Here is a 12,145-nt window from a genome sequence, read left to right on the forward strand (position 1 = left end):
CTGTCACCCAGGCTGGAGTGCAGTGGTGCAGTCTTGGCTCACTGCAACCTCCATCTCCTGGGTTCAAGCGATTCTCCTGCCTCAGCCTCCCGAATAGTTTATTATCTAAACTGTTCGCATGGTTCCGCAGCCAAAGATGGTTATGTCCAGAGAATGATTATTTTGTATGACTACTCTCTCTATCTTCTTTTTTCCCTACTCTTTTCCATCACCATTTTTTAAAGATGTTTTTTTCTTTCCCCTTTTTATTTCTTGCTTTTTAAAAAAAGTTTTATTTTTTAGAGCAGTTTTAGTTTCACAGCAAAACTGAGCAGAAGGTACAGAGTTTTCTCATATATCCAGTTCCCCCACATGAACTAGCAACATCCCCGACAGGGTGCTGCATTTGTTTCTGTGGGTGAAACTGCACTGACAAAAACCAATCACCCAAAGTCCAGGGTTTATATTTGGGTTCACTCTTTGCGTTGTGCATTCCATGGGTTTGGACAAATGTATAATAATAATTATTGCTTTTTAATGTGAGCAAACACATATGTGTATACAGTGATATATTTTTAATTTTTTTTTTCCTCAAATAAGCAATAGCATACTCTATACACTTTTCCCAAGCAAGAGGTCAAAGGTGGTTTTCTAATTATATGGTATATTGTAACTTAATCATGATATTGAGTTAAACTGAATGGGCCTGTTTATTTAGTTATTTTGAAACGGGTAATTATAAAAACTGCTGCATAAATATTTGAGTCATATTCCAAAAGAGTTAGAAAATACATGGATATTCCTGTCTTATTTTTGCTTTAACAAACTTGGTCTATTTAGTTTACATGTATGCTCCGTCAGTGGTTCTCAGCCAGGGTGATTTCATTCCCCAAGGGATATTCAGCAGGCAGTGTCTGCAGGCGTTGTTGATTGTCACCAATTTAGGCAGGGTGTGGATTGTTGTTAAACATCCTACAACGCAGGGGACAGCTCCACGACAAAGAATTACCGAAACGTCTGTATGCCCCTGGTGAGAAACACTGCTCATGTTCAACCAGGTATTTGAGTCATTATTCCTCCCTCTAGACCTCTCCCTCCTCCCTAACTTCCTTCCTTCGCCGCTTCCTCTCATCTTCCACGCACCCTCCCCCCAGTCTTTTTCAGTAAAACTAGGTATTTACATCTAGGACTTTAGGAAAACATGAATCATTTAAAATGAAACACATCAACGATATATTCTTTATTACCAGTCTTGTAAAAAGAGCAAAACAGTTTAGCATTTGAAAGCTCTATTGTAGTTTGCTCTGGTATAAATCATATGTGCAGTCAAACTTTTTTTGGAAAGCTAATTCTGCTTTATGATACAGGTCCCAAGAAGACAGAATTTTATTAGGTGCATGCACATGGAATACCAACTTCAGGGTTGAAAGTGACTGAGGTTGATAGTCTCTGTATTGGCCGCCCTCTGGGCACTGTGGCTTCAGGGTTGAAAGACAATCATTTGCAGGCGTGTGTAAGTATATATGGCTGGTGGGCAGAGTGGTGGCTTTGCTGCTCTTGCAAGGCTGTTTTGTCATTGATGGCACACAGGAGAGTGCTGGAGGTTAGTGTCAGTTTATCTTATCTCTGTACTTCCTGTTGCCTCACTTTAGGATCTTAAGAAATATTCAATTTCCACTAAAAAGAGGAGTGAACAATTCAATGTTTTGCTGTTTTAAGGGTCATGTATGTAAATATGGATGAATGGGGGCATTGGAGCAGGGAGCACATGGGGTATTATTGGCACCGGTTGCAGAGAGGGCCTGGGGACATGAGTGTGTGGCACAGAACGCAGGTGTTCAGATCGGCAGCGTCTGGACTGAGCCTGGGAGCTGGAAGGCTGGAGATGGTGCTTTTCTTCCTTTTGCATTTGGCAAGGAAGAGTATCCCGTAGTTTAGTGTTATTCCAGAAGCTCTCGGCATCATGTTTATTCCCTTTCTTTTTTTTCCCTTGTACTTTCTCATACCTCTATCAGATAAATTAAATGAATTGGAAAAATAACTAAGCATTTCTCTTTGACGCAGGTAAATGCAGTATACATTTGATTCCATGGAAAGGAAATATATATAATTAGAACACTTATAGACATTAGTGGTGACAGTTCACAGGTTAGTCTGCCCTCTCAGGAGTTGTCTTGATAAAATAAATTTTATTAAGCATGTTACTTGTAAGTGTCAGCACTTATCTGTGGTTGGTTCAGTACCCCTAGCTGGGGTGAGTGTTTGCTGTGATGATGGTTACAAGCATAGTCTTGCAGAAATGGATTTAGTCATCACAGTCCCTTTTTTATTTTAACTTTATGTCTCTAAGACATAAAAATTTATTATCCTTTTTAGGCCTTTGACTCACAGTTTGTACCACCATCTTTTCTTTCAGCATCTCCCCCACCCACAAGAAAAAAGTTGACATTGATTTCTAATCCTTTCTGTCTGGCCAAATTCAGGATCTTAGAAAGGACACCCCTATTTCAGCTCCTATACTAGTGTTTTAAGGGGAACCTTTAAAATGGGATTCTGAAGCCTTGGCTGATTTTTCTTTTCTGCACAGGAAATAACCAATTTGTGCTATTTCTGGGTGGTGTGTGTTGAACTCACAGTTCTAGGACCGGAAGAGACTGCCAGCCATGCGGTTCCATATTGTGCAATGCAAGGGCAGAAATGGTATCCAGGTCTTTCTAAGGGGGAAAAAACCAGTATGGCCAAGCAGCAGGCTGCCAGGCTGTGCGGGCTAGCAGAAGGGAGGTTCTTAAATTCTCTGCACCCATGTGAGGGAGGCTGCTCTCTTGACAGCGTCTTAGGGTCAGGATGGCTGGAATGGAGCGTGGAGCCTGGTCTGGTTGGAGTCCCTGTGTGGCCTTTTGGAGATGAGTATGGTAACAGTGAGGCAGGAAGTGGCTGGATTTGCAGCGACTGTGTGGAGCCTCCCTGTTTAGGCTTAGTGAGCTGATGCAAAGTCTTTCGTAACCATGATCAGTTAAAACAAAACACCTGATGTTGTGGCCTCCTGTCAGCTTTTGTCCTCCTGTAGAAACAAGATGCTTCTAGAAAACCAGTTTGTAAATTTGGCACAGAAAAAAAACCCTTTCAGCAATTTGGTGTGGACTCTGCTTGTTAATTTATGGCTTCGCAACTTTTTTTAAGCTACCGGCACTAACAGCAGATCTTTAAGTGTTTAATCGTCCCAAGTCAGGTTTGACTGTGGGCTGACTAGCTATAGTGATCTAATTTGGTTCATTTCCTAGGAGAAGAAAATTATAACCACATTTTTATTAATTTATGGTTTTGATCCATCTATTTTAGACTCAATATTAAATCATCCCCTACTTCCAGAAGATGTGTTTTTGAACATAAGTATCTTTAGGATTTAATATTCTATGAAAGGAGTAGGAGCTAATGTTCGCTTGTTGTAATGTTTGTTTTCTTCTGATATGATGATTTTGTTGAAAAAATGTATTTGAAAGAGTAACGTGTAGGTAAGAAATAAGTTAGCCAAAACCATACTTCAAGGGAAGCCTCCCTCCTATCCTGGGAGCCCGGATAGCCTCACTGTGGCCTCTTGTTTGTACATCCAGAATATTCTTGAAACTGGGTTAGCTGAGTCATTTTTTTTTCTTCTTTCAGTGTTCTCCTTTTTTCTTTTTATAAAATGAAGAGATCTGTCCACAAGTCTAGCTTTTAACAATGAGAAAAAGCACTGAATTGTACACTTTAAACAGTGAACCAGTTTGGGGTCTGGTTTAGAGAGAAGAAATAAGGGTTAAAATTGTTTTCATCTTCCATATCTGATTCATATAATCAGATATGAATAGTGAAGTTCCCCAAAGATACATGTAAGCTTGGAGTAAAGACAAAATGTATGCATTACTTTGATGGGGGAAGCCTGTGGTGAACCCACTGAGGTTGCTGGTGATTAAGTTTATGTGGACGGTGAATCTCAACAGAATGAAAATAAACTGTGGGTGTCTATTTTGAAGCAGATGAACCAGGCAGCAAAGCAGTAGCTGTGGTTCTTCATAGATAAATACATTTAGGGAAATTAATACAAAATGTTCTTACCTTATTTTTCTGAGTTGTTCACCGAGCTTCCTCAGATGTTAACATCTTAACCACAGCACAGTTTTGAAAATCAGGAAGTTATACCAGGTTGTTGTCATCACACTTTCTGATCTCCAGTGGTCTGAAAGGTGAGAGGTGATATCTTAGTATCATTTTAGTGAAGTTCAGATGTCCCTTTTCATCAGTTTGAAGGCCTTATATTTTCTTACCTGGTTTTCCTTGGCCCACGGTTTTCTTGGTGTGTTGGTCTTTTCTTGTGTCAAGTTTATTTAAGAAGCTCTCGCTGTGTCCTGTCTGTCCTTCGTGTCCTAAGTTGCAAATGTTTTCTCCTAGCTTTTTATTTGTCTTTGGAATCTATCTGTGGTATATTTTATCATGTAAGAAAATTTTTTATGTTTATGTAGTTGAATTCATCCCTCTTTTATGGTTTCTGGAATTTGAGTCCTAGGTTTAAAAAAAAAAAGTTCTTCCTTCAGGGTTATAAAGGGTGTTTTCCATATGTCCTTCTATACTTTTACTTTTTCATTGTAAATCTTGGATACCTTTGGAATTTATCCTGTTGTGGGCGTGAGATGTGGCTCCAGCTTTCTTTCAGATGGCCAACCAGAGTACCCCATGGCCATTTATTGAGAAGGCTGTCTCTTCCCTGGGGACTTGACTTGAGATAGTGCCTTTATCATACACTGAATTCCCAGAGGCCTCTGGGTCTGTTTCCCATGTTCCTGCTTCCTAGTGTTTCGTTAGTCTGTCTATCTGCCACACCAAACACGAGCTGATGAGTTATTTGAAAACTTCCTATTTTAAAGCAGAAAAACAAAACGGAATACCACTATATGAAAGCCTATAAAAAGCTAATTACCATGTTTACATAAATGGTACAATAGCAGCCCAGAGGTCACTGGGTTGTTTTGGCATGGAGGGATGCTTCCCTCTACCTCAAGCCTAAAAGTGGTTAAGATAGATCCATTTCAAGAAGCCATTGGTCCTTACCTGGCCTTCCCCTCCGCCATCTTGCCACTATGTTCTTGGCTATGGAGACAGGATCAGGGAATTTGATTGAAAATCATTAATGACATAACTTTTTTTTTTAACAGTGAGAGAAACACTCAAACACTACATTTTGCAAAGTTTGTAAGAATCCCTCCCAAGAGTTTCCTTTGGTCAGCGTAGCTTCTGGTAATAAGGAAATCTGTCATTTGGAAACACCATCTTTGTTCATGTGGTATCATTAGATGTGTCTTTGCACCAGCATTTGACAGAGACCATGACAGTTTTCCTCCTGAGCCCTTACTTTGTGAGAAGAGAGGGTCAGTGCAGCCATGTAGCCTGGCTGCACCGTATAGTCTGGCTCTCCCTGGTCTCCGGCACGGGGGCCACATGCCCAGGGTGAACACCAAGGAAGGGATCCTGAGTCCCCAGGCTCCGGTTCCAACTGCACACCTTGTTCTCTGTCCTCCCTGTGCACGCCACCTAATTCTCTGCTGTGAACGGGGTAATGAGGTGTTGTCTTGTTGTAAAGATTGATTGAGATAGTGCATAAAGAGGGCCTAGTCTGGTCTGTGGTACCCAGGATAGGGTTGGTAAATGATTGCCATTAGCATTCATCTGTTTCCTTTCCTCTTTAGAGCATGAAATTCTGAGGTGCACAGTTCCTGAGCTTTAAACTTGAGTGCTGGAGGCCAAGGAAAATAGAATACAATTCAGGATTACGTAAGAGTGGCATATGTGTGTGTGATTAGCCCATAGAAGGCGGAAACCCAGCTGACATGGGGTTAGTCTCAAAGTTCTACTAAGGCCTAAGAACAAGAAACATTCATCCTGTTTTTGGTCTGTTTGAGATAAATGGACCGAGAGAGTGGGTTTGGTGCTTGGTTTCTGATGGGACCAGTTGCAGGAGCACAGTTGATCAACTGTCATGAACGTCTGTGTTTTGTTTTGTTTGTTAAAAAGAAGAATCTTGAAAGTAGAGGCTTCAGAACAAATGTCGTGAAGAAGGAATTGAAGCTCAACATGGGAAAAAGTGAGTGGGAGAGCACCTTGCTGCTTTTCAATCCAAGCTCGAGGTTCCATGGGATTACATGCCTGTCCAGGTGGTTGGCAGAAGCCCCTTTAGTATTCTTTGAGGGGTCTTGAAGGAGAGGAGAAGTGTCAGAAGATTGGAGACAGGCAAATGTTCTAATTTTCTAAACGCAGAAAAAAGCAGAAGCAGGGAAGAGATACTTAAACAGGTTACTGAATGGAGGTGAAAGCTGGGCGTGCTGAGCCCGTCAGCATTTGTTCTCTTTGATGCAGTGTGGCTTGATGTCTGCAGGGTGTCTGGTGAGGTTGGACCCTCTTAGGTGAGTGTCCCATAAATCTGTGGTGTTAATATGCCTCCTTACCCTGGGACCTCCCCTCCAACCCTGCTCACTGGCTAGAGGCCTGCCGGGCTGTCATCTCCTTGGGGACAGGACTGTGATCATTTGCCCCCTTGTTGGACGTCATTGTAGGGATCCCCCAGCCCCAGCCCTTACGTCTGTTGACCAGCTCACTCGGCTTGCCTCCCCCCTTCCCCATGTCATCGTGTGCACCAGCACGTGGTTGAGGGATGTGCTTTTTTCTTTTTTTTTTTTTCTCCTCACAGTCTATTTACACAAAACCAGTGCACAACGTTAACAGATAAGAAGAAAGACTGAGGGACAAAGCATGACAGAGACCTTTGTCACGTGCTGGCTGTAGCAGTCGAGTGAGGAGAGGGGCCCATGGCACAAGGAAAGCTGGAGTTAGGGGGAGGGATGGTCTGACCTGCATCCGCATTGTCTTGCTGCCTCCTGCTTGGCTTCTTACCTACCCTGTGAGAGCAGCCTCGGGATTGTTCTTTGGCAGGCTCATCTCAAGGGCTGGGTGTTTGGGGACAGAGTGGCCCTCGGCTCAGTCCCTTTAATAATGAGAGTCATTTTCGTGTCCACTCGGGGGAACAAAGTGACATTTTCTGTGAGTGTGCACCAAAAGCACATGGGACTTTACAGGGCGCTTTTTAGAGTATCTGGCTCTAGAGTTAGTCGTCTTGCTGAGAGAAAGTGATGGAGCTGGCATTGCATTCCAAAGCCAGTGTGCATTCACCAGCTCAGGCTGCAGGCCCATCTCCCTGCATGGAGAACTGTTTTGTAGATTGGTAGCGATTGGACAGCCATGCCCTGTCACCTGCTGGTTCAGTGCTCCTCCAGGAAGGCCTCAACTGCCTACTGCCTTTGACCATGATTTGTACAGCAGCTTGGATGAAGAGCTGGAAACCTGCTTATCAGATTTGCAGACGATGCATGGTTAGAGCAATGGGGACCATCTGGGAGTGAGCCAGGATTTAGGACTCTTGAGAAGCTGAACAATGGACGGAAACTGATGTGATGAAGTGGAACGGGAAGATGTGCACACACCCTCTACCTGTACTCAGAAATCACTTGCTCAAATGTGGTGTGGGAGGCTGGGCCCACTGTGCAGGGATGGTGCTGTCTGCAGAGGCATCCTTAACATGCCTTTAGCATTTGCATTTCCATTTTCCATGGACATCTGTCTTAGTCTGTTTGCATTACTGTAAAGGAATACTTGAGGCTGGGTCATTTATAAAGAAAAGGGTTTATTTGGTTCACGGTTCTGCAGGAGGTACAGGAAGCATGGTGCCAGCATCTACTTCTGGTGAGGACCTCAAGCTGCTTTCCACTCATGGCAGAAGGTGAAGGGGGCCGATGGGTAGAGATCCCATGGCGAGAACACGGAAGCAAGAGAGAGAGGAGGGATGTGCCAGGCTCTTTTTAACCATCACTTCTTACAGGAACTAAATAGAGTGAGAACCCACTCATCACCACGAGGAAGGCACCATGCATGAGGGATCCGCCCTCGCGATGCAGACACCTCCCTTAAAGCCCCACCTCCAACACTGGGGATCAGATTTCAACATGAGAAGGAGTCAGATATTCAAACGGTAGCAACATCCTTGTTTGCCCCCATGTGTCACATACATGGGCCATGGATGATGACTGATCATCTGGAATTCCCCTTTTTTGTCGCTTGCCACCCAGTTGTCTGTTTCATCTGCTGCTTTCTCGGGGGTGAGGTGGTGTCAGTGATGTCTGTTGTGTGTATAGCACCAAGCACAGTGCTAGCAGGGGTTCAGTAAATACTTGTTGGATGAATTAACTTGAAGTCTTTCTAGAAGAGAGCAATATTGGGATGGTGAGGTTTAGCAAACCTTGTTGTCATTTTTCAAATTGATGGTTTTCCTTAGAGAAGAGATTATAGTTCCCCTAGCTTTGAAGGTCAGTCTTGGGAAAGCAAGGTTAGGCTTATTTTCTACTGTATCACAAATTAGTTTTTATCTAAGATAGTTGTTAATATAAACATTTATTCTGCTTGTCTCCATCAAATTTTTAAATTCTAAGGCAGATATTTTAGATAGCACACATGTGTTTTAGAAGTTACCTAGAAAAGTTTAGCTGCTGTTTTTTATAGGCACGTTTTCTTGCAGCAGATATCATAAATAGGCACTGCTATGTAGTCTCCTATTTGACTTTGAACTCTAATTAGGCTGAGCTCCTTAAGAAGGGCCACTTCTGTGCTGTGCCTTATGTATGTACAGCATTTGCACACAGCAGTTGTGCAATACATTTTCATTGAATACGTGTGACTGATTTCATTCTACCAACAAGGTGACTGCTATTGTCTCCAAGGAAACCTAGTTTCTGAGGTTAATTAGCAGCCTTCAATTTCTACAGCTAGGAAAGTGCGGAACTGGCATTAGCATCCAGTTTCAAAGCAAGTCCTCATGCCCCTGCATCATGTGCAGAGACATTGCCAGCTTCACACCCAGGTTAGTCGTCTTTCACACTTGTGGTCCAGTTATGAGGGTTTAGAGAATAAGGCTTTCTGGAATTGGCTCTTCTTCAGTTTCTCTTATTTTCTCTAGAGTAGTGATTCTGAATGGGGCTGGGCCTCATAACCACCTAGAAGCTTTTATAAACTGCAGATGTTCTAATTAAGTAGGTCTCAGGTAGGGTCCGTTTGGAATGAATAGTCAGCCCAGAGTCTTTCTGTTTCTGGAATATGTGGTTAAAACAGTCCTGGTTCTGGCTGTTGCATGAAAGCTGAGGATACCATGTGCCTTGTGAGTTGTGAATCTGAGTCATGGATTGCAAGACAGAGGAGTAAATTAACACGTTGAGTGCATCTCTGCCATCCCTCTCCCTCTCAGTTAGGTTTTGGCTTTGCTTGCCCATTTTTTACGGGGCAAATTATATACATAGAGGCAGTGGCGACTCTCAGGATTTACTAATTTCAAGGGTGTACTCTGTAAGGGGTTGGTTGAGTAAAATTTTGAGTCTAGAGAAAGCTTGAGATGTTTTCTGGGCCTGTTTCCTCACTGCACAAAATTTCATTGTGAAGCTGAAGTTGATCATTTCAAAATGTGTGTAAATGAACGGACCAGCGCTTTTCTTTGATGTTTGCACTGGATGAGGATTATCTGAGAAGACCTGGTGGACGAGAAAATGGGTTTGACTTTTTGCCAGATGGTCACTGAATGTCTTTTCTGTCTTTGTGCCCAGTTAAAAGGCTAGGCATGTAGGTTTTCATGCTCTTGTCTGGTTTTGGCTTTGGAAATGCTTACACAGCTAATCTGGCATTTATGATGATTTCCACTTTGAGCTCAGCAGGAGGCTCTTTGGGGATATTCAGACAGAAATGGCTTAATTGGATTTCAGCCCAGACACAGTATTTGAATGGCTTTATGGATGGCATTAATTGGGCAGCTGCCATAGGAAGTCATATATATGCTCCTGAGCTTTAGAATTTAGAATTACTCTTTGATTCTGTCCCTCTTCATTGACTGCTTGCAAATTTATTTATTGAATGAAATACTCAAGAAAACTAAACTTATAGCCTTGAAATTAAGAAATATGATATGTAAGAACCATTGTTTGGTTTTGGCATAGGTATGTTATTATCTGTATTTAAGGCTCCACGTTGATATTCATGGCCTGGCCTAGAGGCACAGTGGTGTTAGGGATTCAGTGTGTCTTAGATTGCAAACTGGGGGACAAGGATTCAATCAGGGCCTAACATGGCACTAACTGCTGCAGGGTACTGGATAGTCACAGCTGATCTTATAGATGGAACTAAGGAAGTGGAAGTTTATTGAACCATAAATGGGGGAGAAGAGTCATTTTATCCAGAGCCTGCCATGGGCCTCCCCATATGGGTATCAGGACATGAAAAAGTTGCAGTCCCTTCCCAGAGGCTCTTCCTATCTGGACAGTTTTGTAAATGACAGTTGATATTATAAAATAGTGCTTTTTATGGGCACGGAGGCCGGTCTCCTAGAAGAGAGCACGTTTGAGTTCCTTCCTGAATGGTGAGTTGGATTTGATTGCACGATGGCATTGGGAAGCTGAGGTGCAAAGATGTTCCCAGTACGGGGAGGAAATAGCAGACGCGAGGGCAAAGAGTTATGAAAGGGTCCAGCGTTTGAGGAGAATGTGGATGAACATACCTTGACCATTTTAGGAATATTTAAAAACTAATTGTACTTTAAGAACTAAGTATTCTTAAAGCTAAACATACTTTAAAAACACAGTGATAGTAAAATTTCTATTTAATTGGAATAATAATAAATTTGTTTTCTATAAGTTAAATTTTTATAACTATTAGCCTTTTAAAATTTCATTTATTTTTAAAATTAAACATTTTAAATTAAATTTCCCGAACTTACTCATAACCAAAATTTTGTACCCATCCACCAAAATCCCCCCATTTTCCCTACCTTCCAGCCCCTGTTAACTACCGTTCTACTCTCTATTTCCATGAATTTGACTTCTTTAGATTCCACATATAAATGAGATCATTCAGTATATGTCTTTCTGTACCTGGCTTACTTCAGTTAGCATGATGTCCTCCCAGTTCATCTGCGTTATTGCAAATGGCAGGATTTCCCTTTTTAGGATTGAATAATATTCTTGTGTGTGTATATATATAGGGTAAGAATTCCTTAACCCGAATACCTGGAACCAGAAATGTTTCAGGGTTTGGATTTTTCCAGATTTTGGAATATTTGCATAAACATAACGAGAGGTTTTGGGGATGGAGCCAAGTCCAAACATGTAATTCATTTATGTTTCACGTACACCTTATATACATAGCCTGCAGGTAATTTTATTTTTTTTCTTGGGGGTGCTGGGTAAACTGTGTTGTGTGCCTGCGTTTTGACTGTGGCCCTTCCCATGAAGTTAGGTGTCGAATTTTTTACTTGCAGCATCATGTTAGTGCTCAAAAATTATCAGATTTTGGAGCAATTTGTATTTTGTATTTTTAGATTAGGGATGCTCAGCCTTGTATATGTATGTGTGTGTGTGCTTGTGTATGTGTACATATCACACATATCACATTTTCTTTCTTTTTTTTTTTTTTTTTGAGACAGAGTCTCACTCTGTCGCCCAGTCTGCAGTGCAGTGGCACGATCTCTGCTCACTGCAAGCTCCGCCTCCCGGGTTCACGCCATTCTCCTGCCTCAGCCTCCCGAGTAGCTGGGACTACAGGCACCCACCACCACGTCCGGCTAACTTTTTGTATTTTTAGTAGAGACGGGGTTTCACCGTGTTACCCAGGATGGTCTCGATCTCTTGACCTCGTGATCCACCCCGCGTTGGCCTCCCAAAGTGCTGGGATTACAGGCGTGAGCCACCACTCCCGGCCACATATATTCTCTTCATTCATCAGTGGACACTTAGATTGTTTCCATATCTTTATTAGCCACTTTTAAATGGAAAATTTTAAATTTCCTTTTTATTCCACATTTGATGGAATTTTATGGAATTCATTTATGGGACACTGTAATATCTATGTGAATATCTGCTACTTAATGAGGGAAAAAAATCACGTTGATTCAGTGCTTATCAGAGGAAGAGGATAACATGCAGTGCGGTATTTTCAGTTTCTTAGAAGCAAATCCCATTCCATAGGGGGCTTCGCAGTTACCAGTAATTTACAAAATTAAAAAAAAACCCAACCAACCATCCTACAGAATCTTTCTGAACCTTTTTCTCCA

General features: G+C 42.1%; 1 protein-coding gene across 11 annotated transcripts in view, besides 5 other annotated features; it reads left to right on the plus strand.

Annotated features, from left to right (window-relative positions):
* Positions 1–12,145, plus strand: part of NCK2 (NCK adaptor protein 2) — a 149,820-nt gene that overhangs the window by 50,292 nt on the left and 87,383 nt on the right. The window contains exon 1 of one of the 11 annotated variants that reach the window (XM_047446017.1): positions 5,408–6,094. The exons of the other annotated variants lie outside the window; for them this stretch is intronic. The gene's annotated coding sequence lies outside the window, so the exon portion shown is untranslated. Of the gene's footprint in view, positions 1–5,407; positions 6,095–12,145 lie in introns of those variants that run through there. 11 annotated transcript variants of the gene reach the window in all.
* Positions 5,817–5,906: a silencer, noted in NCBI's record as "silent region_11843". NCBI's record gives its function as "represses an Ori minimal core promoter by ATAC-STARR-seq in GM12878 lymphoblastoid cells {active_cell/tissue: GM12878}" and the evidence as "EXISTENCE:reporter gene assay evidence [ECO:0000049][PMID:35858748]".
* Positions 5,927–5,986: a silencer, noted in NCBI's record as "silent region_11844". NCBI's record gives its function as "represses an Ori minimal core promoter by ATAC-STARR-seq in GM12878 lymphoblastoid cells {active_cell/tissue: GM12878}" and the evidence as "EXISTENCE:reporter gene assay evidence [ECO:0000049][PMID:35858748]".
* Positions 6,177–6,346: an enhancer, noted in NCBI's record as "active region_16327". NCBI's record gives its function as "activates an Ori minimal core promoter by ATAC-STARR-seq in GM12878 lymphoblastoid cells {active_cell/tissue: GM12878}" and the evidence as "EXISTENCE:reporter gene assay evidence [ECO:0000049][PMID:35858748]".
* Positions 7,972–8,261: an enhancer, noted in NCBI's record as "active region_16328". NCBI's record gives its function as "activates an Ori minimal core promoter by ATAC-STARR-seq in GM12878 lymphoblastoid cells {active_cell/tissue: GM12878}" and the evidence as "EXISTENCE:reporter gene assay evidence [ECO:0000049][PMID:35858748]".
* Positions 8,615–8,664: an enhancer, noted in NCBI's record as "active region_16329". NCBI's record gives its function as "activates an Ori minimal core promoter by ATAC-STARR-seq in GM12878 lymphoblastoid cells {active_cell/tissue: GM12878}" and the evidence as "EXISTENCE:reporter gene assay evidence [ECO:0000049][PMID:35858748]".

This window comes from Homo sapiens, chromosome 2, assembly GCF_000001405.40.
Source record: "Homo sapiens chromosome 2, GRCh38.p14 Primary Assembly".
NCBI classification, from domain to species: Eukaryota; Metazoa; Chordata; class Mammalia; order Primates; family Hominidae; genus Homo; species Homo sapiens.